General features: G+C 42.2%; 1 protein-coding gene across 11 annotated transcripts in view, besides 1 other annotated feature; it reads right to left on the bottom strand.

Moving 5' to 3' along the window:
• Positions 15,067-15,146: an enhancer, noted in NCBI's record as "active region_5998". NCBI's record gives its function as "activates an Ori minimal core promoter by ATAC-STARR-seq in GM12878 lymphoblastoid cells {active_cell/tissue: GM12878}" and the evidence as "EXISTENCE:reporter gene assay evidence [ECO:0000049][PMID:35858748]".
• Positions 21,995-26,766, bottom strand: part of ETV6 (ETS variant transcription factor 6) — a 245,704-nt gene continuing 240,932 nt past the window's right edge. For all 11 annotated transcript variants that reach the window (XM_047428502.1, NM_001413914.1, NM_001987.5 and 8 more), the window contains one exon: positions 21,995-26,431. In XM_047428502.1, the coding sequence (XP_047284458.1) occupies positions 26,326-26,431 (106 nt within the window). In that variant the 3' untranslated portion in view covers positions 21,995-26,325. The remainder of the gene's footprint in view (positions 26,432-26,766) is intronic.

Raw genomic sequence — 26,766 nt, 5'->3', positions numbered from 1 at the left:
GGATGGGTGCAGTGGCTCACACCTGTAATCCTAGCATTTTGGGAGACAAGGGTGGGAGGAGCACTTGAGCCCAGGAGTTTGAGACCAGTCTGCACAACATAGGGAGATCTTGTCTCTACAAATAATAGAAAAAAATAGCCAGGCATGGTGGCATGTGACTGTAGTCCCAGCTGCTCAGGAGGCTGAGGTGGGATCATTGCCTGAGCATGGGAGATTGAGACTGCAGTGAACCGTGATTGTGATCATTCCACTGCACTCCAGCCTGGGTGACAGAGTGACACCCTGTCTTAAAAAAAAAGAAGAAGATAGTCTTCCCTCTTTATGGCTGGAGTGCCCCACAGTGGAAAGAGCTATAGGAAAAAAACTGAGCAAAAGCTTCCTGTGATGTGATATACATCCTACCCAGTGATGGATCTATGATGAATGTCTTAGCCATGTCATATACTCCAAATCACTCTGTTACTTCCCCCTCTACTACAGAATTGAAAGTGGGAAACTAGGCATTGGGAGTTCACAAAGGCATCAATATGCTTTATTTAGTTGTGAAATAGACAAACAGAACTCTTTTTTTTTGAGATGGAGTCTCACTCTGTTGCCCAGGCTGGAGTGCAGTGGCGTGATCTCCACTCACTGCAAGCTCCACCTTCTGGGTTCATGCCATTCTCCTGCCTCAGCCTCCCGAGTGGCTGGGACTACAGGCACCCACCACCACGCCTGGCTAATTTTTTTGTATTTTTTTGGTAGAGATGGGGTTTCACTGTGTTAGCCAGGATGGTCTCGATCTCCTGACCTCGTGATCCGCCCTCCTCGGCCTCCCAAAATGCTGGGATTACAGGCGTGAGCCACCACACCGGGCCAGAACTCCTCTTTTTGAGTATGGAAATCTGGTTCTGCTTTTGCAGGCCACCTTTCTGACTGAATTATGCACTCCTATGATATCAAGTGTTAGATGGCTTGGGTATGGATTTAATGATACTCACTTGGATGGACCAAGGAATGACCTTGAAGATATGTTTTTTAAAAGTAATATGTTTACATTTAATAGGTTCAATGAATGAATATTTGTTGAGTCATCAAAGAGGGCTGAGGTTTAATGAGATGCTTTTATTTTGTTGGATATAAGCAGCTGAGACTTGTAAAAGAAAGAGATGGTTTTTATGATAGAAAAAGGACTGTCAAAGGCAATTCGAACTATCTGGGAACAAATAAAATTAAGCCTTTAACAGATACTTGCCCCTCAAAGTATGTTTTGGAATCTGGTTGATGGATTACTCTGTATGTAAGTCATTAAAATTTTATATTGAAGGCATTATTTTCTATCATACCTCTCTGCTCCTGAAAGGCCAGCAATCCCAGAACATAGAGCAACATCTTTCATTCTACAAACAGAAAAAAAATGACTTAGATCCTGCTACTTCCCAAGTGCTGTACTACACATCTACCATGTATTATTTTATTTTGTCATTATATAACAGCTGAAGGAATTATATATTGCCACTGTTTTAAGAGAGATTACACAGCTAGTAAATGGCCAACCCTGACCCCAAAGCCTTTCCCCAGAGGGAAAGGTAATAGGACCATTTAAGGTGAAGTTGTGGGCAGAGGGTAGGGAGAGGAGCAGACTAGGTTCTAAAGGCAAAATTTACCTATCCACGAATTTGCATAGGGCCAGTTCTCTTCTGCAATATACAATCTGAAATCTAGTGTTTCCAGGACCTAAGTGCAATCTATTAAAAGCTTGTTTGCATCTCAGTCAGGTACACATTTTCCAGTGAAAAACATTATGAAAGCATATTCCAGTATGAAAAGCGACAATGAATTGTTACACCAGTTTTCCAAGGTGCTTTGGGCTATTTCATAATAATTCCCAGGGCCTATGTAAATATTACTATTTGTTGGATTTGGAATTTTTATATCTATTTGATGAGCGAGATTGTCTCATAATTTTCCATTTCTTTTTGTATTATCCTCATGTGGTTTTGGCAACAAGGTTAGCCTTGTAAATGAGTAAGGAAAGTGTTACTTCTTTTTCTACTATATGGACATTTTTTAAAATTTTATTATTATTATACTTTAAGTTTTAGGGTACATGTGCACAACGTGCAGGTTTGTTACATATGTATACATGTGCCATGTTGGTGTGCTGCACCCATTAACTCGTCATTTACATTAAGTATATCTCCTAATGCTATCCCTCCCCTCTCCCCCTACCCCACAACAGTCCCCAGTGTGTGATGTTCCCCTTCCTGTGTCCATGTGTTCTCACTGTTCAATTCCCACCTATGAGTGAGAACATGCGGTGTTTGCTGTTTTGTCCTTGCAATAGTTTGCTGAGAATGATGGTTTCCAGTTTCATCCATGTCCCTATAGAGGACATGAATTCATCATTTTTTATGGCTTCATAGTATTCCATGGTGTATATGTGCCACATTTTCTTAATCCAGTCTATCGTTGTTGGACATTTGGGTTGGTTCCAAGTCTTTGCTGTTGTGAATAGTGCTGCTATAAACATACGTGTGTATGTGTCTTTATAGCAGCATGATTTATAATCCTTTGGGTATATACCCAGTGATGGGATGGCTGGGTCAAATGGTATTTCTAGTTCTAGATCCCTGAGGAATCTCCACACTGACTTCCACAGTGGTTGAACTAGTTTACAGTCCCACCAACAGTGTAAAAGTATTCCTATTTCTCCACATCCTCTCCAGCACCTGTTGTTTCCTGACTTTTTAATGATCACCATTCTAACTGGTGTGAGATGGTATCTCATTGTGGTTTTGATTTTTCATTTCTCTGATGGCCAGTGATGATGAGCATTTTTTCATGTGTTTTTTGGCTGCATAAATGTTTTCTTTTGAGAAGTGTCTGTTCATATCCTTCGCCCACTTGTTGATGGGGTTGTTTGTTTTTTTCTTGTAAATTTGTTTGAGTTCATTGTAGATTCTGGATATTAGCCCTTTGTCAGATGAGTAGATTGCAAAAATTTTCTCCCACTCTGTAGGTTGCCTGTTCACTCTGATGGTAGTTTCTTTTGCTGTGCAGAAGCTCTTGAGTTTAATTAGATCCCATTTGTCAATTTTGGCTTTTGTTGCCATTGCTTTTGGTGTTTTAGACATGAAGTCCTTGCCCATGCCTATGTCCTGAATGGTAATGCCTAGGTTTTCTTCTAGGGTTTTTATGGTTTTAGGTCTAACATTTAAGTCTTTAATGCATCTTGAATTAATTTTTGTATAAGGTGTAAGGAAGGGATCCAGTTTCAGCCTTCTACATATGGCTAGCCAGTTTTCCCAGCACCATTTATTAAATAGGGAATCCTTTCCCCATTGCTTGTTTTTCTCAGGTTTTTCAAAGATCAGATAGTTGTAGATAAGCGGCATTATTTCTGAAGGCTCTGTTCTGTTCCATTGGTCTATATCTCTGTTTTGGTACCAGTACCATGCTGTTTTGGTTACTGTAGCCTTGTAGTATAGTTTGAAGTCAGGTAGCGTGATGCCTCCAGCTTTGTTCTTTTGGCTTAGGATTGACTTGGCAATGTGGGCTCTTTTTTGGTTCCATATGAACTTTAAAGTAGTATTTTCCAATTCTGTGAAGAAAGTCATTGGTAGCTTGATAGGGATGGCATTGAATCTATAAATTACCTTGGGCAGTATGGCCATTTTCATGATATTGATTCTTCCTACTCATGAGCATGGAATGTTCTTCCATTTGTTTGTATCCTCTTCTATTTCATTGAGCAGTGGTTTGTAGTTCTCTTTGAAGAGGTCCTTCACATCCCTTGTAAGTTGGATTCCTAGGTATTTTATTCTCTTTGAAGCAATTGTGAATGGGAGTTCACTCATGATTTGGCTCTCTGTTTGTCTGTTATTGGTGTATAAGAATGCTTGTGATTTTTGTACATTGATTTTGTATCCTGAGACTTTGCTGAAGTTGTTTATCAGCTTGAGGAGATTTTGGGCTGAGATGATGGGGTTTTCTAGATATACAATCATGTCATCTGCAAACAGGGACAATTTGACTTCCTCTTTTCCTAATTGAATACCCTTTATTTCCTTCTCCTGCCTGATTACCCTGGCCAGAACTTCCAACACTATGTTGAATAGGAGTGGTGAGAGAGGGCATCCCTGTCTTGTGCCAGTTGTCAAAGGGAATGCTTCCAGTTTTTGCCCATTCAGTATGATATTGGCTGTGGGTTTGTCATAGATAGCTCCTATGATTTTGAGATACGTCCCATCAATACCTAATTTATTGAGAGTTTTTAGCATGAAGGTTGTTGAATTTTGTCAAAGGCCTTTTCTGCATCTATTGAGATAATCATGTGGTTTTTGTCTTTGGTTCTGTTTATATGTTGGATTACATTTATTGATTTGTATATGTTGAACCAGCCTTGCATCCCAGGGATGAAGCCCACTTGATTGTGGTGGATAGGCTTTTCAATGTGCTGCTGGATTCGGTTTGCCAGTATTTTATTGAGGATTTTTGCATCGATGTTCATCAAGAATATAGGTCTAAAATTCTCTTTTTTGGTTGTGTCTCTGCCTGGCTCTGGTATCAGGATGATGCTGGCCTCATAAAATGAGTTAGGGAGGATTCCCTCTTTTTCTATTGATTGGAATAGTTTCAGAAGGAATGGTACCAGCTCCTCTTTGTACCTCTGGTAGAATTCGGCTGTGAATCCATCTGGTGCTGGACTTTTTTTGGTTGGTAAGCTATTGATTATTGCCTCAATTTTGGAGCCTGTTCTTGGTCTATTCAGAGATTCAACTTCTTCCTGGTTTAGTCTTGGAAGGATGTATGTGTTGAGGAATTTATCCATTTCTTCTAGATTTTCTAGTTTATTTGCATAGAGGTGTTTATAGTATTCTCTGATGGTAGTTTGTATTTCTGTGGGATCGGTGGTGATATCCCCTTTATCATTTTTTATTGCATCTATTTGATTCTTCTCTCTTTTCTTCTTTATTAGTCTTGGTAGCGCTCTATCAATTTTGTTGATCTTTTCGAAAAAACCAGCTCCCGGATTGATTAATTCTTTGAAGGGTTTTTTATGTCTCTATGTCCTTCAGTTCTGCTCTGATCTTAGTTATTTCTTGCCTTCTGCTAGCTTTTGAATGTGTTTGCTCTTGCTTTTCTAGTTCTTTTAATTGTGATGTTAGGGTGTCAATTTTAGATCTTTCCTGCTTTCTCTTGTGGGCATTTAGTGCTATAAATTTCCCTCTACACACTGCTTTGAATGTGTCCTAGAGATTCTGGTATGTTGTGTCTTTGTTCTCATTGTTTCAAAGAACAGCTTTATTTCTGCCTTCATTTCATTATTTACCCAGTAGTCATTTAGGAGCAGGTTGTTCAGTTTCCATGTAGTTGAGTGGTTTTGAGTGAGTTTCTTAATCCTGAGTTCTAGTTTGATTGCACTGTGGTCTGAGAGATAGTTTGTTATAATTTCTATTCTTTTACATTTGCTGAGGAGTGCTTTACTTCCAACTGTGTGGTCAGTTTTGGAGTAGGTGTGGTGTGGTGCTGAAAGCAATGTATATTCTGTTGATTTGGGGTGGAGAGTTCTGTAGATGTCTGTTAGGTCCACTTGGTGCAGAGCTGAGTTCAATTCCTGGGTATCCTTTTTAACTTTGTGTCTCGTTGATCTGTCTAATGTTGACAGTGGGGTGTTAAAGTCTCCCATTATTATTGTGTGGGAGTCTAAGTCTCTTTGTAGGTCACTAAGGACTTTCTTTATGAATCTGGGTGCTCCTGTATTGGGTGCATATATATTTAGGATAGTTAGCTCTTCTTGTTGAATTGATCCCTTTACCATTATGTAATGGCCTTCTTTGTCTCTTTTGATCTTTGTTGGTTTAAAGTCTGTTTTATCAGAGACTAGGATTGCAAACCCTGCCTTTTTTTGTTTTCCATTTGCTTGGTAGATCTTCCTCCATCCCTTTATTTTGAGCCTATGTGTGTCTCTGCATGTGAGATGGGTTTCCTGAATACAGCACACTGATGGGTCTTGACTCTTTATCCAATTCGCCAGTCTGTATCTTTTAATTGGAGCATTTAGCCCATTTACATTTAAAGTTAATATTGTTATGTGTGAATTTGATCCTGTCATTATGATGTTAGCTGGTTATTTTGCTCGTTAGTTGATGCAGTTTCTTCTTAGCCTTGACGGTCTTTACAATTTGGCATGTTTTTGCAGTGGCTGGTACTGGTTGTTCCTTTCCATGTTTAGTGCTTCCTTCAGGAGCTCTTTTAGGGCAGGCCTGGTGTGACAAAATCTCTCAGCATTTGCTTGTCTGTAAAGGATTTTATTTCTCCTTCACTTATGAAGCTTAGTTTGGCTGGATATGAGATTCTGGGTTGAAAATTCTTTTCTTTAAGGATGTTGAATATTGGTCCCCACTCTCTTCTGGCTTGTAGAGTTTCTGCCGAGAGATCAGCTGTTAGTCTGATCGGCTTCCCTTTGTGGGTAACCCGACCTTTCTCTCTGGCTGCCCTTAACATTTTTTCCTTCATTTCAACTTTGGTGAATCTGACAATTATGTGTCTTGGAGTTGCTCTTCTCGAGGAGTATCTTTGTGGCGTTCTCTGTATTTCCTGAATATGAATGTTGGCCTGCCTTGCTATATTGGGGAAGTTCTCCTGGATAAAATCCTGCAGACTGTCCCTTCCAACTTGGTTCCATTCTCCCCGTCACTTTCAGGTACACCAATCAGATGTAGATTTGGTCTTTTCACATAGTCCCATATTTCTTGGAGGCTTTGTTCATTTCTTTTTATTCTTTTTTTCTCTAAACTTCTTTTCTCTCTTCATTTCATTCATTTCATCTTCCATCACTGATACCCTTTCTTCCAGTTGATTGCATTGGCTACTGAGGCTTCTGCAGTCGTCACGTAGCTCTCGTGCCTTGGTTTTCAGCTCCATCAGGTCCTTTAAGGACTTCTCTGCATTGATCATTCTAGTTATCCATTCGTCTAATTTTTTTTTCAAAGCTTTTAACTTCTTTTCCATTGGTTCGAATTTCCTCCTGTAGCTCGGAGTAGTTTGATCGTCTGAAGCCTTCTTCTCTCAACTCGTCAAAGTCATTCTCCGTCCAGCTTTGTTCCGTTGCTGGTGAGGAGCTGCGTTCCTTTGGAGGAGGAGAGGTGCTCTGATTTTAAGAGTTTCCAGTTTTTCTGCTCTGTTTTTTTCCCATCTTTGTGGTTTTATCTACCTTTGGTCTTTGATGCTGGTGACATACAGATAGGTTTTTGGTGTGGATGTCCTTTCTGTTTGTTAGTTTTCCTTCTAACAGACAGGAGCCTCAGCTGCAGGTCTGTTGGAGTTTGCTAGAGGTCCACTCCAGACCCTGTTTGCCTGTGTATCAGCCTGTGTTTGCCTGTGTATGCAGAGCAGCGGATATTGGTGAACTGCAGATGCTGCTGCCTGATCGTTCCTCTGAAAGTTTTGTCTCAGAGGAGTACCTGGCTGTGTGAGGTGTCAGTCCGCCCCTACTCGGGGGTGCCTCCCAGTTAGGCTACTCGGGAGACAGGGACCCACTTGAGGAGGCAGTCTGCCCGTTCTCAGATCTCAAGCTGCGTGCTGGGAGAACCACTACTCTCTTCAAAGCTGTCAGAGATGGACATTTAAGTCTGCAGAGGTTACTGCTGTCTTTTTGTTTGTCCATGCCCTGCCCCCAGAGGTGGAGCCTACAGAGGCAGGCAGGCCTCCTTGAGCTGTGGTGGGCTCCACCCAGTTTGAGCTTCCCGGCCGCTTTGTTTACCTAATCAAACAACTAACTCGGAAATGACGGGCACCCCTCCCTGAGCCTCGCTGCCACATTGAAGTTTGATCTTGGACTGCTGTGCTAGCAATGAGGGAGACTCCGTGGGCGTAGGACCCTCCGAGCCATGTGCGGGATATAATCTCCTGGTGTGTTCTATTTTTTAAGCCTGTTGGAAAAGTGCAGTATTAGGGTGGGAGTGACCTGATTTTCCAGGTGCCATCTGTCAGCTTTCTTTGACTAGGAAAGGGAATTCCCTGACCCCTTTCGCTTCCCAGGTGAGGCGATGCCTCGCCCTGCTTCGGCTCGCACATGGTGTGCTGCACCCACTGTCCTGCACCTACTGTCTGGCACTCCCCAGTGAGATGAACCTGGTACTTCAGTTGGAAATGCAGAAATCACCCGTCTTCTGCATTGCTCATGCTGGGAACTGTAGACCGGAGCTATTTCTATTCAGCCATCTTGTCTCCTCCCCTGGACAATTTTATATAAGGTTGGATTTTATGTCCCTTGGAGGTTTGGTAGAGCTCACCCACAAGATTTGGTCCTTGTTTGCCTTACTCTGAGCTCCAGCTATTCTGGCCATATGTCAGTTCCTTAGAAACTCCTTAGCTCTTTCCTCCCTGAATGCCTTTGTACACACTGTTCCCCTGACCTCACCCCTGTCTCTGTTTGCAGCCTCTTCCTAAATGTTACCTCCTCTGATCCCCTTCTCTGATCATGCTATCCTAGGCAGGTTTCCTTTTTCATTTGGTATTCTCTATCTCAGCATCATGAGTATTTTCTTGATAATATTTATCACCATTTGCAGCTGTAAAAAAGAAGGAAATCATGCCCTTTGCAGCATCATGGATGGAGCTGAAGGTCATTATGCTAAGTGAATTAACTCAGAAACAGAAAAGCAAATACTGCATGTTCTCACTTCTAAATGGGAGCTAAACAGTGGGTACACGTGTACATAAAGATGGAAATAATAGACACTGAGGACTCCAAAAGAGGGGAGGTTGGGAGGGGGTTGAGGGTTAAAAAATTACCCATCAGGTACAGTGTTCACTATTTAGGTAACAGGTACCCTAGGAGCCCAGTTCCCACTAGTATGGAATACACCCATGTAGCAAACCTGCACATGTACCCTTAGAATCAAAGGAAAACAAAATTTTAAGAAAAAGTAATTATCACTGTTTATAGCTGGTATAGTGACTTGTTGGCTTTTTTGTTTTATCAATATGAGGGAAGGGGCTAGGTGTGAATTGTTCACCAAATGCTTAACCCAGTGCCTAGCACATGATGAGAACTTAATAAATAATTGTTAAACAAATAGTTGGTCATCCCCGTTCATGTCAATTATACATAAAGCTGGAGAGTCCACACAGCTCAGTGTTTCCAGGTTTCCCTTCTTGTTGAAGAGCCTATTCTTCAAAAATTTTCCTTTTATCTTTCCTAGTGAGAACTCAGGAAGTTAAGTATGATTGAACCAAGTTGTCTTAAATTATTTTCAAAATAAACTACAGGGAATTTGGGAAAATTGCTGTACGTACTACATTTCCCCCCAGCCGCACTTTGGCTTTCTTTGATTATTTAGGTTCTGTAGTTAGAAAACTAATGCTTAATTCCAGAGGCTCCCATTTTGTTTATCTCCACTAATACTTTTTTTTTTGCCCTGAAGTCTACTTTATCCAACATTAATATAGCCACTTCAGTCTTCTTATGCTTACTGTTTGTATGGTATATTTTTTTTCTATTCCTATTTTTAACCTATCTGTGTCCCTATATTAAAACTGTGTCTTTTATAGGCAGCATATACTTGGGTCTTACTTCTTTACCCATTCTGACAATCTCTGTCTTTTATTTGGAATGTTTAGTCCTTTTACATTTAATGTAATTATTGATTTGATTGCATTTAGGTCTATATTTTTTCTTTGTTTTCTATTTGTCTCATCTGTTATTGTTCTCTGTACTGCTTTCCTGGCTCTTTTTGGGTTAATTTAATATTTTAAAAAATTTATCTGTTAGTCTTTTTGCATTTTAAGTGATTGCTTAGACATTATAATATATATTCCTAACTTTTTAGAGTCATAGAGTTAATATTTTATCACTTCATGTAAAATGTAGGAACCTGATAGTCTTACAGTTCAGTTTATCACCTACCCCTCTGTCATTTATATCTATTTGATATAGATGTCAAATTAGTTAGTTGTCATGTGCATTACATCTCTGTGTATTACAACGTTACAACTTTTGCTTTAATCTCATTTTGTTTAAAGTTTTGCAATTTTAGGTATTAGCACATGATGAGAACTTAATAAATACTTGTTAAACACGTATTTCATTTCTAACCATTTCTGGGGCAAGAGTGAAAACCAAGGACTAGTTTATAGCTCTAGTAGATACTTTGTTTCTGAAACTGTCCACGTGTATTTATAAATCACTGAGAAACCTACTGAAAGCTTCTTTTTTGGAGCACCCAACTGCAGGCTTTCACCTAACAAACTAGGCTTATTCATCTTCTTTTTTGATTTAAATTTCAGTGACCACCCAAACCTCCTTCCTCTCACACAAACCAGTTCCCTGTATTTCTTCACACAAAATCAAATATTTATGGCATGCACTTTATTATCACACTCTGGCATCAAGCTGTCCATAAAATTAATCTTTTTTGTTTTTTGCATTTCTTTCTGAGACAGTATTTTATGCCTTTTCTGCTTTGAGTGTCTGTTTTTCCTAAGACTAAATTGTCTTTTTGTGTGGTACTTTTCGTAACTGAACTTGTGCGTTCTGGAACATTTTCCTCTCTTCTTTCTGTCTTCTTGTTTGTGCTGTTGGTTGGTGGCTTTTGAAGAGTGTTTTTAATTCTTTTCCTCTGATTCCTTGCTGAAGTATTTTTCTGACTCTGTGTGCCAAAGACGATGAACTGTACAGAGGCATGCTAGCAATGCCACTGAGTAGCTGTGTGACTTTAGGCCAGTCACTCAATTCCTGAGAGTTCTAATTTATGTGAAATTATCTAAGGTTCCTTCTAGTTCTAACATTCTATGTTCCCATCACTTGAATGGTACCTTTAGTGACATACAAACACTCTTCAACAGGAAGTGGGGTTGAAGCTGCTGTGGTAATATTGTCATCTGTTCACACACACAAGTACACGTACACAAGTATACACAAACAGCCTCCTCCTCTCTTGTTATCCTCTGACACTTCTGATTTTGATTGTCCTCACTCTTAAATGCTGTTTCTGTTAATCTTTCGATTCTCACCCTGTATTTAGCTGCACACTCCTTCCTCTTCAAATACCCTCAGGGTTTATGTTCTTGAAATCTGGGGGCTGTACCCACTTCAGCTACCTGGTAGCCCTCTGCTCCTCCCCTAGCATTGTGCTAACCTGTGCCTACTCGGTCACCAGAGAGTTTTTTTCCTCCTTAATCCCTTCACCAGACTCTCTCTTTCCAGACGGCCTCACCTGGAACCATGGGCTTCCATTCTGCTGTGTCCCCAGCCATTTCCAGTCTATGAACAAAGTGGGCTACATTCTTGTGGGTGACAGGATTCCTGAGAAAAGGACATGAAAAGGTTGGAAAGGTTTAAGAAGTCAATATAGTAGAGAGATGGGACTGGCCTAAGGTGAAATTATAACTTTGGGAAAGTGTATTTTCCATACTCTTCCATATCTCTTTCAGATATGTTTCCTTTCTTTGGTACACCACATTTCATGACATGAGTGCTCTCATACTACCTCTTCCCTTCTTAGGAAACACCACTGGCACCCCTACCTACTTCTCAGGACTCCAAATTCCAGATCACTGCCATGTCTGACTCTTTCCTCCAATCAGACTTACTTGTCCTATGAACACTCTTTAAGAGCTCTGTTCTCTGCTAACCAATTCAAGAAACATCTGTATCAAAGGCTGACAATGGTTCAAAGAGTTTCCTTTCCTGAATAATATAACAGAACATGTAAAAAGGAATCAGAGGATCTTGATTTGAAACCAAGCTTTCCTGCTTTCTATCTATGTGAATTTGACCAAGTAATTTACCCTGTCCTGAGTATCAGTTTCTTTTTTCTTAAAATGAGAGAGAAAACATTTTTAATGGGGTTGTTATGAGGTTATAGATACAGTGTAAGCAAGCACTCTTTGTAAGTACTGTGCAAGGATAAAGGATTTTGAGGCCAGTTCATTTGGAAAAAGAGACATCTAGAATGATCACTGTGCTAAAGTTGCTTCTTTTTAAACTTTTTTTTCTGGTTTTTTTTTTTTTTTTTTTTTTTTTTTTAGGAGACAGGGTCTCACTCTGTCGCCCAGGCTGGAGTGCAGTGGTGTGATCATAGCTCACTGCAGCCTCCACCTCCTGGGCTCAAGCAATCCTCCTGCCTCAGCCTCCTGAGTAGCAGGGACCACAGGCATGGGCCATCACATCCAGCTATTTTATTTTTTATTTTTGTAGATACAGGGTTTCACTATATTGCCCCGGCTGGCCTCAGACTCCTAGGATCAAGCAACCCTCTTGCTTTGGTCTCCCAAAGTGCTGGGATTACAGGTGTGAGCCACTGTGCCCCGCCAATTTTTTTTCCTTGAATGATGAAGGGGAAAGAGAAGAAAATGTGAAGAGAGTAACTGGTAAGATTTGATGAGTGGGAAATAAGATTTTTGGATACAAGTTCCCCTATCCGGCTATCCATCCACTTTCCGGAGAAAGAACCCACCCAGATGAATATAATGAGTCCTGTTTATTGAATGTGTATTGTGTGCCAGGCAACTTACATACAGTGTCTCTGCTTTTCAAAGAAACCCTTCCAAATCCTAGAGAAGGAAATGGCTACTCAAGAATCATGGGCACTTTTTCCAAGATGGCATTGCTGTAGGTGGTAGAGCCAGGTTCCAAACTCAGCTTTGTCTGATTCCAAAGCTGGTGCTCTTTTTCCCATACCACCCTGATCTTACTTCCCTGAGAAAGCTTAATGATGTACCTTAGGAGCCTCACTCCACCCCGGGCATCTGGATCTCCTTCAAAATGTGCTCAAAAAACAAAGAGCAAGCATGTTCCAAAGTAATCTGAAGTTGACTAGCCTGAAGGCCTTTGGGCTAGACCTGTTAGAACTGCAATGAGGGCTGAGTGGTCTCCCAGTAACTGGGTCCTCTGTGGGGCACACAGAGGGAAAGGGAATGTGCCTTGGCAAGCTTGAGCTCATCCAATGGTTGGCACCGAAAATTATAAAGTGGGGGAGACTAAAGGAGCAGCTACATCATGACACTGCATGATTATTTTATATTGGCATAATTCCTGCTTGACTGTTGCGTAAGCCACATCACATGTCTGAAGTGGAAGAAGCCCTTATAGCTACGTGTAGAGGTGAACTAGGTATTCCTCATGGCAAATTTCTCAGCCAGGTGGCCTGGCCCAGAAGTCCCTAAGTGGCCACCTCTTCCCCTACTCATGTTGTATTTGAGTCCAAGTTTATACCCTTCACAGGGAAGGTCCTTAAGGTGACTTTCCTTCACACCTGGCCAGGTGCCATGTCGTCATCGGCACCGAGGTGATGTTTGAAGATAACTATGGTGATGAATCCTGGGAGCAGGGGCAGAGAATGAAGTATCTACTAGCAAGGGAGATTTATTTGATTGTTTAAAACCCTGATGACACTGAAACAGACCAAACCAGACCCCACATTTCCTTTAAATGGAAAATCTTTGGTCTGGGAATACAGCCATCTCCATGCCCTCCTAGGTTTTCCTCAGGTAGGGAACAAGTATTGGGGGCTGTTAAGGAAAGGAAACGAAAGAGATCCAAACTGAATTGCTCAAAGCAGATTTCAAATTTCTTGGAGAATTTGCGTTCATCTCCTGATTTGACTAACCAGCTACAAGCCGATGCAAACGGCACACACAGACTTTTACTAGGAGGAAGAGGTGGAGTGGGAAAAGAGCGTGTGGATTTCTAGTCTTGGGGGAGGCTCCTCTTTGCGGAGACTGGCGGAGGAAGGATGCTCTGACTTCCCAGGTTGTGTCAAAAGGTAATTACCTTATTTTGGCCAAGGTCTTGACTAAGGGCTATACATCGCTTGAAGAGGTGAAGTGGCAATTCAGTTGATTAGAAACAAAAGGTCTAAGATACCTCGGCAATTGTCATTGGGTGATTTTCCCATTCATAATTTTACAGAATTAGAAGACAGAAAATTAGTGCTGGAAGGGCAGTATGGATGTGTGTTGCAGGGAGGATTTAGCAGGCAGGAAAGAGGGAAGGGAACTATCATGTATGGGTTAGGATTGTTACCCATTTTCATCATTGAATTATTTCCATGGTGCTTTGAGGAAAATAATTCTACAAGAAACCGAGGCTCCAACCTTAGGTGATTTGCCTGAGATAGTGGTTAGATGGGACACAGTGTGGCTGCTGTTCTTCCTGTTGCAAAAGAGGATATTCTCAACCTGGTCATGTGCACCTTTTCCTTTTCTAGCAAAAGGCTGGGCGCAGTGGCTCATATCTGTAATTCTAGAACTTTGGGAGGCTGAGGTGGGCTGATCTCCTGAGTTCAGGAGTTTGAGACCAGCCAGGTTAACATGATGAAACCCCGTCTGTACTAAAAATATAAAAATTAGCCGGACGTGGTGGCGGGTGCCTGTAATCCCAGCTACTTGGGCGGCTGAGGCAGGAGAATCGCTTGAAACTGGGAGGCGGAGGTTGCAGTGAGCCAAGACTGTGCCATTGCACTCCAGCCTGGGCAACAAGAGTGAAACTCCGTCTCAAAAAAAAAAAAAAAAAGCAAGAGTCCAGCAGGGAGCAAGATGGTTGGGAGATTCTCACAGCTTGATCCCCTGGTTCCTCAAACGGCAAGACTTCTAGGGCCTAGTGATGTGGCTTCTCCACATTCAGGGCTCCTTTTTGAAGTGGTGTTCAAATTTCCTAGCCCCAAAACTGAACCCAAATAATATAGTTTTGTGCATAGGGTAGCTGAGTCAGGACTTTCTTAAAAAGAAAGAGAAAACAAAATCAAAGAGTTTGGCGTACTGATTTTAAATAGAACGAAACCTACACATTTCCTAAAGCTATTGAACTGGAACAAAACCAGATCAAAATATTCTCCGTAAACCTGAGTCAAGCCAATATTTCCCTTGGGTTGAGTCCATTGGCACAAATAAATATCACTGGGCACTCAGGTGCTCTTCGAGACTGAGAATGTGGCCCCATGAAGGGAGGTGAAGTGAGAATGCCAGGCGGGGGCCCAGGCTCAGACAACCCCAGGGTGTGGGAGGACTCGGGGTAGCCCCTCATCCCGCTGGGCCTCTGACCCTTCATTTGTAAAGTGAGGGGGTTGTAATCCTTCCATGATGTTCAAACTGAAACAAAACAAAACAAAAACCATGGAAACTTTTTTATGAGAAGGTGTCTTTTGGTGGAATCCCAATGTGTAGAAATGATAAAAGCAGAGCTGCTCTGAGTGAAGCAGTGGTTGGTGGCTCAGTAGATCCAGACTTAATTATAGAAGTCATAGCAGTTAATATGGAATGTGCTGTGCACTTTCCTAAGCACTTTCTCTGTAATACCTCCTTTAATCCCCACAACCTTCCTTCTGAGGTGGGCACTATCATTATCATCATCCCGATTTTGCATTTGAGGAAACTGAGGCACAGCGTGGTTAAGTTCATGGCCTGAGGTCACATAGCTAGTGACAGCAGGTGTGGGACTTGGATCCGGGCACTCTGACTGCAGACTGCACCTGTGTAAGTGTCCTGTGCTGTTGCTCTCAGGCCAGCCAGCCAGCTGTGTTGGGCACCAGCCTATGTCAGGCACACTAAATCAGAAGGGCATAAAGCAGAAACTTGGTACCAATGAACTTCTAGTCTCTGTCTAGAATTCCTGATGTGACTGGCAAAATGAAATTTGGACATTGACGTTCAGACATTGTCCATCAGACAGAATTCTCGGGTGGACAAAACCAACATCCTTTCTAGTACTGCCCTATCTCTGATGACAGCTTTGCTCCCCACATAGCAAAGCACGTGCTGAGATTGCAGGCTGTTCCCCTGGTCCTGAGACCATGGCCTCAAAAAGTTTTCCCTACAGTAGCAATAGGCTAAAGTTCTGAGACAAAATGATTGACTGTGTAATGCTATTTATCAGGAATGAGTGATTTATTTTATTATCTAATTTTAGAAGTCTTTCATACACTTCCCAAGAGGCTGCCTAGTTCAGATATTCATAAAAGGAAAGAGAAGAGGGAATATGAACTACAGAACAGTGAAAAACGTTTTACCAACATGACAGACAGAGGAAATCATTTTAAAACACATTTTGAAGATGTTTTGCATTATAGTAGACATGGAATATATCTCCATCTTTTATACATGACTGTTATGAATGGAAAGATACTATCTTTTGAGATAGTTTTAGATAAAGTAAAAATGTAATGATATTTTCAGTGCATATAATGCATTTCTTATTTTGTACATAAAAGTCTCATCATTTTTTGTTGTTGTGGTTGAGACAAGGTCTTGCTCTGTCACCCAGGCTGAAGTGCAGTGATGCAATCTCGGCTCACTGCAACCTCCGCCTCCCAGGTTCAAGCCATTCTCGTGCCTCAGCCTCCCAAATAGCTGGGACTACAGGCACGCACCACCATGTCCAGCTAATTTTTGTATTTTTAGGACAGATGGGGTTTCTCCATGTTGGCCAGGCTGGTCTCAAACTCCTAACTTGTGATCCACCTGCCTTGGCCTTCCAATGGGCTGGGATTACAGGCATGAGCCACCACACCTGGCTAAAAGTCTCATCATTTTTGTGAGTAAAAAATAATTTGCTCTTCACCCCAACTAAATAGATGTTAATTTCATAGTTGAAGAATAATAGCCCACAGGTGTGTTAAACCATCTCCCTGCTTGGTGTTCCCATCGTCTGATTTCAGTTGGGTCCTTCTCAGGCTCCCAGATTCATTCCTGAGGCATTTCTCCCCCATTGCTCCTTATCCCCTTTGGGAAGCCCTGGGGCCACACATAACACAAACAAACACCTACTGATTCAGATGGCCTTTATGTTGCTGTGTAGCTTTAAGAATCTATGACTTGGAGTCTCAGCATCAAATGGTCTTCCAATATCCTAGGCTACCAGTTCAAATTAGGGCCGCTGTCTATACAACTGCCTGGAGCCACCTGATGCTGGCAGGGGGTGGCCATCAAGGGCTGTGTGTTTCTGGGGTTCCTTCTGGGGTGTCCATAGTTTAAAGTATTTCTGAGAGAGCCGTGGTTTACTCAGACTTCCTGGACTGTTGAGAGGCCTAGCCCTGGGGAGGTTGGTTGATGAACAGAATGTAATTGATTTCTTGCTGTCATAATTTCTCTTAATGTTTCATTTTTATTAGTATATTACATTATTAGTATATTTTTCTATAATTCCTTTATTTGAGTCCTATGTGCAGCTCCTGAAGACAGTCCCACTTACCATACAACCAGCGTGAATTGATTTATGTAGATTGTTTTCTTTTCCTTTTTTTTTGTATTAACAGCTTTTTTGAAGTAAAATTATGTACCTTAAAACACATTCTTTATAAGGGTACAGTTCAATAAGTTCTAGTAAATGTATAGATTTATGCAACCATCATGACTATCCAATTTTAGAACATTTCCATTATCTCCAAAAGTTCCCTCTTGCTTGTTTCCATTCAATCCCCACTCCCACCTCCATCCCCAGGTAAACACTCATCTCCTCCTGTCTTTATAGATTTGCCTTTACTGGAAATTTTATATAACTGAATATGTTTTTGAGTTTCATTCATGTTATTGCATGTATCAATGGTTTGTTTCCTTTTTGTTGCTAAATAGTATTCCATTGCCTGGATCTACTACATTTTATTTATCTATTCACCAGTCAATGGATGTGTGGATTGTTTCTGGTTTTTGTCTTTTTTTTTTTTGAGACAGAGTCTTGCTCTGTGGCCCAGGCTGGAGTGCAGTGGCGTGATCTCGGCTCACTGCAACTTCCATTTCCCTGTTCAAGCGATTCTCCTGCCTCAGCCTCCCGAGTTGCTGGGATTACAGGTGTGAGCCACTGCGCCCAGCCTTTTTTTTTTTTTTTTTCCTGAGACAGGGTCTTCCTCTGTCACCCGGGCTGGAGTGTAGTGGTGTGACCACTTCTCACTGGAGCCTCAATCTCCTGGGCTCAAGAGATCCTCCCACCTCAGCTTCCCAAGTAGCTGGGACCACAGGTGTTTGCCAACACACCCTGCTAATTTTTAAATTTTTTTGTAGAGATGGGGTTTCACCATTTTGCCCACACTGAACTCCTAAGCTTAAATGATCATCCCACCTCAGCCTCTCGAAGTGATAGGATTACAGAAGCGATCTATTATGAATAATGCTGCTGGGCCGGGTGCAGTGGCGCATACCTGTAATCCCAGCACTTTGGGAAGCTGAGGCAGGTGGATCGCTTGAGCCCAGGAGTTCAAGACCAGCCTAGGCAACATAGCGAGACCCTGTTTCTACAAAAAATAAAAAAAAGTTGGCCAGCGCATGGCACACACCTGTAGTCCCAGCTACTCAGGGGGCTGAGATGGGAGGATCACTTGAGCCCAGAAGTTTCAGGCTGCAGTGAGGTGTGATTGCATCAGTGCATTCCAGCCTGGGCAACAGAGTGAGACCCCATCTCAAAATAAAGTAAAATAATGCTGCTCTAAATATTTGTGTATACGTCTTTGTGTGGACGTGTTTTCATTTCTTTGAGAAGATACTTCAGAGTGAAATTTTTTGGATATGACAAATTTATGCTTAACTTTTTAAGAAGCTGCCAAACTGTTGTCCAAAGTGGCTGTGCCATTTTACATCCCCACCAGCAATGTATGAGGGTTCCAGTTTTTCCACCTCCTAGCCAACACTTGGTATTGACAGTCTTTATTATAGCCTTTTGTGGATGAGTTGTTATCTCACTGTGGTTTTAATTTACCTTTCCTTAGTGACTAATAATGTTGAGCATCTTTTTGTGTGCTTAACAACCATTTCTATAAATTCTTTGGTGAAATGTCTGTTTAAATCTTTTGACCATTTTAAAATCGGGTTATTCATCTTATTGAGTTGTGGAAGTTTATCCTGGATACAAGTTCTTTATCAAATGACTTGCAAATATTTTCTCCCAGTCTGTAACTTATCTTTTCATTTTCTGAATATGGTGTGTTTTGAGGAGCAAGTTTTAATTTTGATGAAGTCCAATTTATCCATTTTTTTCTTTTATGGATTTTTTGGTGTCATATTCAAGAAATCTTTGCCTAAATTAAGGTCACAAAGAGTTTCTCTGACTTCACTCCCATTTAAAACACTTATTAACATATACCTTGTGCCAGCCCCATGCAAGGGGCTGGTAGTAAAAATGTGCATAAAATACTCTACCTTTAGAGAGCTTTAGTAGGGGACAGAGGCACATGAGCAATTCACTGCATGGAGGCATTTAGTTGCTTTTATAGAAGTGCTTGCAGCTGGGGCACCGAGATAGCACTTAGCTCTCCCAGAGGCACTGGAGGAAGCAAAGGTCAACTCAGGTGGATGGTCTGATATGGGATCTCATGACCAAAATTCTGGTTGAGGGAAAAGGCATGAACATCTCAGAGGACTCCAGAAGGCCACTGCTGAGAGGGTTTGGAGAGAGGAAATAGTCTTCTATTGTCTCAGAAGAGATTAAGCAGACGTTCCTCAGTGGTTTTTACTAACAGAAATCTATCATCTTAATCTGGCAGAGACTGAAGGCCTTAATTAAAAAAAATAAGAAAACAGTGAATCTGTTAAGTACTAACAAACAGGATTATCTGATTTTAATGTCAGCATCTTGGACTGTTTGCATGGAAGATCTGCTCATCCATCCTATCTATGCCATTTAGAACATCAAGAATGGCATTGTTAGTGTTCTGTCTGCTTTCAGTGACCAAGACTGGTCTTTCTAGAGGCTGAGAGGCAGTGATGCTTGGAATTCTCATTGCTTCCCATAAGAATGATGACCATGAGGCATCTGGTTATGAATGTCTGTATGAAGGTCCAGTACATGAATAGCTGTTCCTTCACTTGGTGAAGAGGCTTTTGATCATGTTGTTTACTCTTGATGCTGCCCTGAAAGGGAACAAGCAAACTTCTCACAGAGCAGGACTGGGCCCAGGGACCATTCTAGGGAGGAATTAGCAGAGGAAAACAACAAAGGGAGGGGTTCGGTCAGTTTTGCATCACAGTTAGCATTTCAGGGTCTGAAGGGAGACTGTCTTCTCACTACTCAGTGTGGTCCCTGGACCAGCACCATCAGCACTACCTGGAGCTTTTTAGACGTGCAGAACCTCAGCCAGGTGCGGTGGCTCACGCCTGTAATCTCAACACTTTGGGAGGCTGAGGCGGGCAGATCACGAGGCCAGGAGATCGAGACCATCCTGGCTAATACGGTGAAACCCCGTCTCTACTAAAAATAGAAAAAATTAGCCAGGCGTAGTGGCAGGCATCTGTAATCCCAGCTTCTTGGGAGGCTGAGGCAGAGAATTGCTTGAACCCGGGAGGCGGAGCTTGCAGTGAGCCGAGATCGTGCCACTGCACTCCAGCCTGCGCGATAGAGTGAGACTCTGTCTCAAAAAAAAAAAAAAAAAAAAAAAAAAAAAAAAAGTGCAGCACCTCAAGCCCCACCCAGAGAGTAGGGTAGAAGAACAGATCTTCTGTCCAGACTTCCCAAGATACTACTGAAGCAAAATCTGCTTTTTTCCCTGAGATCTGATGATTCATAAGCACTTTCAGGTTTGAGAAGCACTGGTCTAGTCCAGTGGTTCTAGAGTCCTCTGCAAATGCCCTGGCTAAATGCTCATCCAGGCTCTGTTTAATAATTCCGGGGACAGACAGCCAAGGTCAGTTAGCAGATGAGAATAATCCTTTTATTTTTCTTTTTAGATCAGGCTGGTTAGGCAGATAAGTGGGCATAAGTGGATAAATTGCTGTGCTCTAATTTGCAAGGGCAGGTCAGCTGTTAAGAGTTACCCTTTAAAACAGCTCATCTTTACAGCAAACTGATTGCTTAAAAGGTTTGGAGAAAACAAGACGATGACTTTGGTATGTGATTCTGTGTCCACTTAGCCTCATTCCACAGTATATCTACCATTAGGAAAATGCAGCGTTATTGTGTGTGAGTACTATTGATGCAAATTAGTTGTCATCAATTATTTTGAGTTTATTGTTTAAATTGCTACAAGCTCTCTTTCATACTAAGATGAAGAAATTGGTAGCAGTGACTCTCAGACTTTTGTGTGCATCAGAATCACCCAGAGTGCTTGTTAAAACATACTGCTGGGTCCCAGCTCCAAAGTTTCTGATTCAGTTTATGGGGTGGGAACTGATAATTTGCATTTCTAGCAAGTTCTCTAATGCTGCATTATAGAAATAGTAGCTTCGAATGCATTTTTAGCACCACAAAAAAAATATCTAGACCCTTATTTGATACTGTGCTCTGATCATACAGAATATAGGGCCAAATTTCAGCAATCATTCTCAGGGGATACAGAGTAACTGGGTTAACCTAAAGACAAAAGTAAACTAAGAACATTTTCTGAGACTGCTGATTTCTTAGACATTTTGAACCTCCGCCCAATTTGCTCAACAGCAATGCATTTGCTTCCTCTTCCATTCTTCCCCTTGTTTCCACCCACTTCTGATGGCAGATAGTTCTGGTCAAGTGCAGAATGTTTGATCTTGAACTCCCAAGTGCCCACTGGTTGGTGGGTGGCTCTGTTGGTCAGGTTGGCTGGGACATTCTGAGCATGTGGGCTGGCTCTGAGCTGTGTGATGACCTTCTAGGTCATTACAGTCCTGTATTTAGTCATAGGATCTATCCCAGCCCTTACGCCTTCATCACCTGGTAGGCTTAGACCTCTGATCTCAGCAGATTTAAGGGGCAATTCTATTGTGTGAGGACCTGGCATTGCTAAGTTCTCAGTGAGCTAATAAACCTTCACCACAGCATGGGACCCAAGCATCTCTGATCACGGTTCCTCTTGGTAATTCTTCCACCTGTGGCAGCTGCTCAGCTTGGAATGGTTCACTCTGACCTTTCCGGTACCACTTGTCTAAAGATCGCCTGCAGACTGCCCTGCAGCGGAGACTTGCTGCCAGAGAAAAACCATGATTGCCCTTTATACCATAATTGAGTGGAGACAGGATTTACCTCATCGGAGCACCTTGTCTGACTCCATTTCATATTATTAAAAACAGAGACTCTGGACTTCATGGTTTTTTTTTTTTTATAAAAAATTTATTGAGATGATGTAATTATAGGCTTTTCTTTAAAAATTATTTGCAACTCACTGGCCCTGAGAAAAGGCATTTTTTTTTGTTTTTTTTTTCTTTTTTGTTACATTCATTTGATTCAGTCCCTTATAAACCCCACACCTCATAAACAAGAGATTAGAAACTAAACAAAAAGGGGGGCGGGGAAGGAAATTCTAGAGTCGTTCTGGTTTGCAGGTGGTTGCGGTCACAAAGAGAAATCATCAAGAATGTTCACTTGGCATGTGTGAAAGATTCAGGGGGTCTGCAGCTGTTTAGTGTTGATGCAGTTGGGTCAAAAGAGTATCAGGTTAGTCTTCTGTGGGTTTTAGGGAGGGATTATGGTGCCTCCCTCCCACCCCACTGGCTTCCTTGTGTCACAGCCTTTATTTCTACTCCGAAGAGGAGCAGGAGAGAGTGAACAGCCTCTAACTAGCACCAAATGCTTGGGCAAAGAAAACTGCCCCTTTTTCTTGGTGTGTTTTCCCAAATCTTTTATCTTCAGTTTCCTGGGTGGGAATGAGCCACACAGGGTGAGCCCAGGCTGGATCCTGAGCCTAATTCCATTCTTGGCATGCTGTCTGCTCCTAGGGCAAGTCACTTCACCTCCCTGACACCCAGGTTTCTTTTTTGCAAAAGGGAGTTCCTATTTCAAAAATGTATTCAGACTTGGAGCCTAGGCAGTGAAAGGTGGGAATGGTGGTTACTTCATCATTTCGGTAAATTGTCACAGCCATTTGAATTTCAGCTAAAGCGACATTCTCATTTGGACAAGAGATCAGTATCAAAAGACATTGGATCAGAGGGTTCCAAACATACTGGTGAAAGGAGAAAATCCATTGGTCTATTATTCCTCTTTTTCTGTGGGGATACCCTCATCTCCCTAAAGGATTTGGAACATTGGTGATGCCACCTTAAGCAAAACCAAGTCGCCCTGGGTCAAGATCTTAGAGTTCATGTTACCTTCAACATAGCCAGTCTAGCCAATTACCAGTGCTTTCTTCTGATAGAGAGGAGACTGCCTGGCTAGCTTGAGATGTAGGAATGAGAACTTCAAGACCCAAGTGAGAATGCACATCCATCACACGGCAGGGCTCCTTTGCATTTTCCTCTCCTGACTTCAGATTTGTCTCCTGACAACACCCCTAGTACTTAGTGTTGAAATGAGTCACGCCGGGTGGATTAGGCAGGTACAATATAAACTCTGAAAGCAGGGATTATGGCTGATTGAGCTTTGGGTCCCTCAGTGTCCAGCAGGTGCTTCATCAAGGTTTGCTAACTGAATCTGAAATCTTTAGGGTCTGCAGGGTGTAAATACTGTATCCAGGTGCTGGCACTACCCGGGTTTTCTCATAAAGAACAAATGAAGAGGACATTTGCAGTTAGGGGAATTACGAAATCCTTATTGGTAGTACAGATTGATATCCCTTATCTGAAATGCTTGGGACCAGAAGTGTTCTGGGTCTCGGATTTTTAAATGTTTTTTTTTGTATCCTGGAATATTTGTGTATGTGTGTGTGTGTGTATATATATATATATATATATATATATATATATATATATATATATATAAAATGAGAGATCTTGGGGATGGACACAAAGTCTAAACACAAAATTCATTTATGGCTCATATATACTTTATACACATAGCCTGAAGGTAATTTTATGATATTTGAAATCATTTTCTATATAAAACAGTTTGTGTACATTGAACCATAAGAAAGCAAATGTGTTTGTTAGGTGTGGAATTTTCCACTCATGGTGTCATAGCGTTCAGGAAGGTTTGGATTTTGGGGCATTTGGGGGTTTTAACTGTTCAGATTAGGGATGCTCAACCTGTATCTGAATGGGAAATAAAGACTATATTGGAATGAGCGCCTTCTATTTCTTCTTCAAGTGGCTGAAGGTATCATCCTAAGTCTAACATATTCTCCTGGGATATTGCTTTAAATATAGAAATGCTTGGGGCAAAAGGGAATTTCCCTCCATAATTCAACTGTTAAGATTCTTTGAACAGTAAGAGACTGAGTTCTTGCACTTGGGTGAAGAGGCCAGACTGAGAGGCTCTAATCCTAGCAACATCATGCCCTGGTCTCTGATTTCATATTCATACAGAGGGATGCAGTAAAAAATCCCTTTCTCTCCATTCTTAAAATCAGTGGCTTTCACAATACATCAGGTATTTGGCTTAATCTCTGCATTTCAGATAGAATACCAGTCATCTTAGAGGCTGAAATAGGGATCACCATGTCCTACTGAATGCTCTCAAAAGACACCTGCAGCGTGCTGAGATCCAGCAGAATCTCATCACCATTCAAGCAGACTGAGACCCACTCGCCTCATATAGAAGGTCCCTGACCTCCCGGAAGGTTGAATGGTGGGGCGCCTGTGACAGTAGGAGTGGGCTGGCTATGCCCGTGTGTCTACCTGTGCTCTGATAAGAGGCAGGGACAGAGCAAGGCTGAAGAGAGCCTTGATCAGCTCCTCAATTCCAGTGTCCTTGAACCATAGTCCATCTGTTTGCACCCTAGGTTGGTGTCCTTGTCAGTAAGGCCGAGGGAAAATTCCTCTTGCCTGTGTGACCCAAACTCTACATGTCTGACTCAACTCAGAAAAAGCTGGGGAGAAGCCCAGGGGTCTGGTAACTTCACCTGGGAGCTGCTGCTGAGGGCACATATGTATCCCGGAGGAGCTGTGAGTTTCTCCCCCAACTGAGTAGAGGAAACAGAGGGGAACAAGGAGGGGGTGCTTTGTAAGGCAGGTGTAATCTGGATTAAAAGAAATTGTACTCCAAATATTGGATTTCTGAGACCTATATTGGAAGAGTCAATTTAGATGGCTAGAAAAGGAAAAAAAAAAAAAATCTAAAACAGCTTTCAAAAATACTAAGAAGTGGCACTACCCTCATTTTACAAGATACCATCGATCTTATTTTGAGGTGAAAAAGAGCCACAAATGGGTCCTTTCTGAGACACAGCTATGAAAGAAAGAAAAAATAATGTATCCGAGGAATTTCCTGTCTGCCCAGGCTGGGCACACACTGATTGCAACTGAGACTGCCCTCTGGGATCCTCCGTCTCCAAAGCTCTGTGTCCAGTGGAGACCAGGAAACTTTAAAAAAGGTTAGGAATTGAAAAAAAAAAAAAAAAAAAAAAATCAGGTGAGGGCATGAAACTGACCACAAGATGGCCTTTGGAATGGAGCAGAGAGGAGCTTTTCTTTCTCACTAGCCTCTGTTACCTGCTTTGGAAAAATAAATCCCCACTGCAGAATATTTTTGCCCAGTTTCTGGACTGCTGGGCCTGTGTGGTCTTTTCATATTTTCCACTTTGCAGCGCTGCGCTCCCAAGCTAATCCCAAGCTGCCGAGGCCTTCCAAATAACTTGGACAGCCTTCCATCCTTATCTTACGCCTTAGACACATGGTTCTCACAGCCATCTCAGGGGCGGCTCTCTGGACTAGCATGTATCTGTCTGCAGCACAGCAGCATCTGTGATGATTTTGGCCTCCCTCAGATGGGTGGCCCAATGCTGGGATGCGGGTTTGATTCTGTGCTGCTGGCCACAAAGCACCCGGGTCACTGATTCTGTTTAGGTGCCAACAATCCCCAAGACTCTCCAAGAGGCTGAACTCTGTCAGAAGGCATCTGAATCTCAACTGCAGGCAGGGCGGGAGGACAGAGGGGACCAAGGGAAGAACAGAGCAAGAGAGAGAAAAAGAGAGCTCTCCTTTTCATTTTATCTTTTTTAAAAGCATTTTTTTTTTTCAGCCAAGACCCAACAGTAACAGGAACAGACCTGATCCACGTGGCAGGAAAAAGAGGAACCTGAACCCCTCTGCAAGTATTCTCTTTCCTGACCAGCTGGGCTTGCCGCACTTTGTGAGATTTGCAAAAAATATATATATAATAGATATATATTTCCATAGGAAAACAACATCAGATGTCTTCCCCTAGATGAACGATGAAGAGTCAAACTGCAGGTTCTTAAAACAAAAACAAAAACAAAAACACCATGATACTAACAACGGTGGAAGGGTGAGGGTGAGGAATTACAGATGGAGAGATTCCAAATCAGAAGGAAACGTGACATGGAGTCCCAGGCTCATGCCCTCCGCCAGAATTCCAGCCCCGCCTGTGCTGGGTAGTTTGTCTAAGGTGCTCCAGGGTCCCTCTTGGTCTGCAAGAGAAGTGTCCCTGCCATTTCTGGGTCGCTTCCTTTTCCACTCTCCTCAGCCCGCCTGCTCCGTCACACTTCCAGCAATCCTGGTGGGCAGGGGTTCCCTGGGCTGCTGGCCCGCTGAGGTGGACTGTTGGTTCCTTCAGCATTCATCTTCTTGGTATATTTGTTCATCCAGCTCCTGGGACTCTAGGTGCTCCAGACGGTCTGTTCGGCCACTCATGATTTCATCTGGGGTTTTCATAAACCTTTGGAAGAAGAAGTGGAGGAGGTAAGAGATTCCATTTTCCTAAAGCTGTCTTCACTCTGAACTCTAGCCTGTATATAAAGAAAGACTCCATCATCTTATACAGCTGGAGAGCTACTGAACCCCGAGATTAATGTTAACTTAGTGCAAATTAGGAAAAGGTACTCCTTTCTCTGACTGTCTAAAAAGTGGTAAAATGCTTATTTAAAAAGACTAGGGCCAGGCATGGTAGCTCATGCATATAATCCTAGTGCTTTGGGAGGCCAAGTTGGGAAGATAACTTGAACCTAGGAGTTTGAGACCAGCTTGGGCAACATAGCGAGACCCCACCTCTAC

Source organism: Homo sapiens, chromosome 12, assembly GCF_000001405.40.
Source record: "Homo sapiens chromosome 12, GRCh38.p14 Primary Assembly".
Taxonomy (NCBI): Eukaryota; Metazoa; Chordata; class Mammalia; order Primates; family Hominidae; genus Homo; species Homo sapiens.
This window is presented reverse-complemented; position numbering and strand designations above follow the sequence as displayed.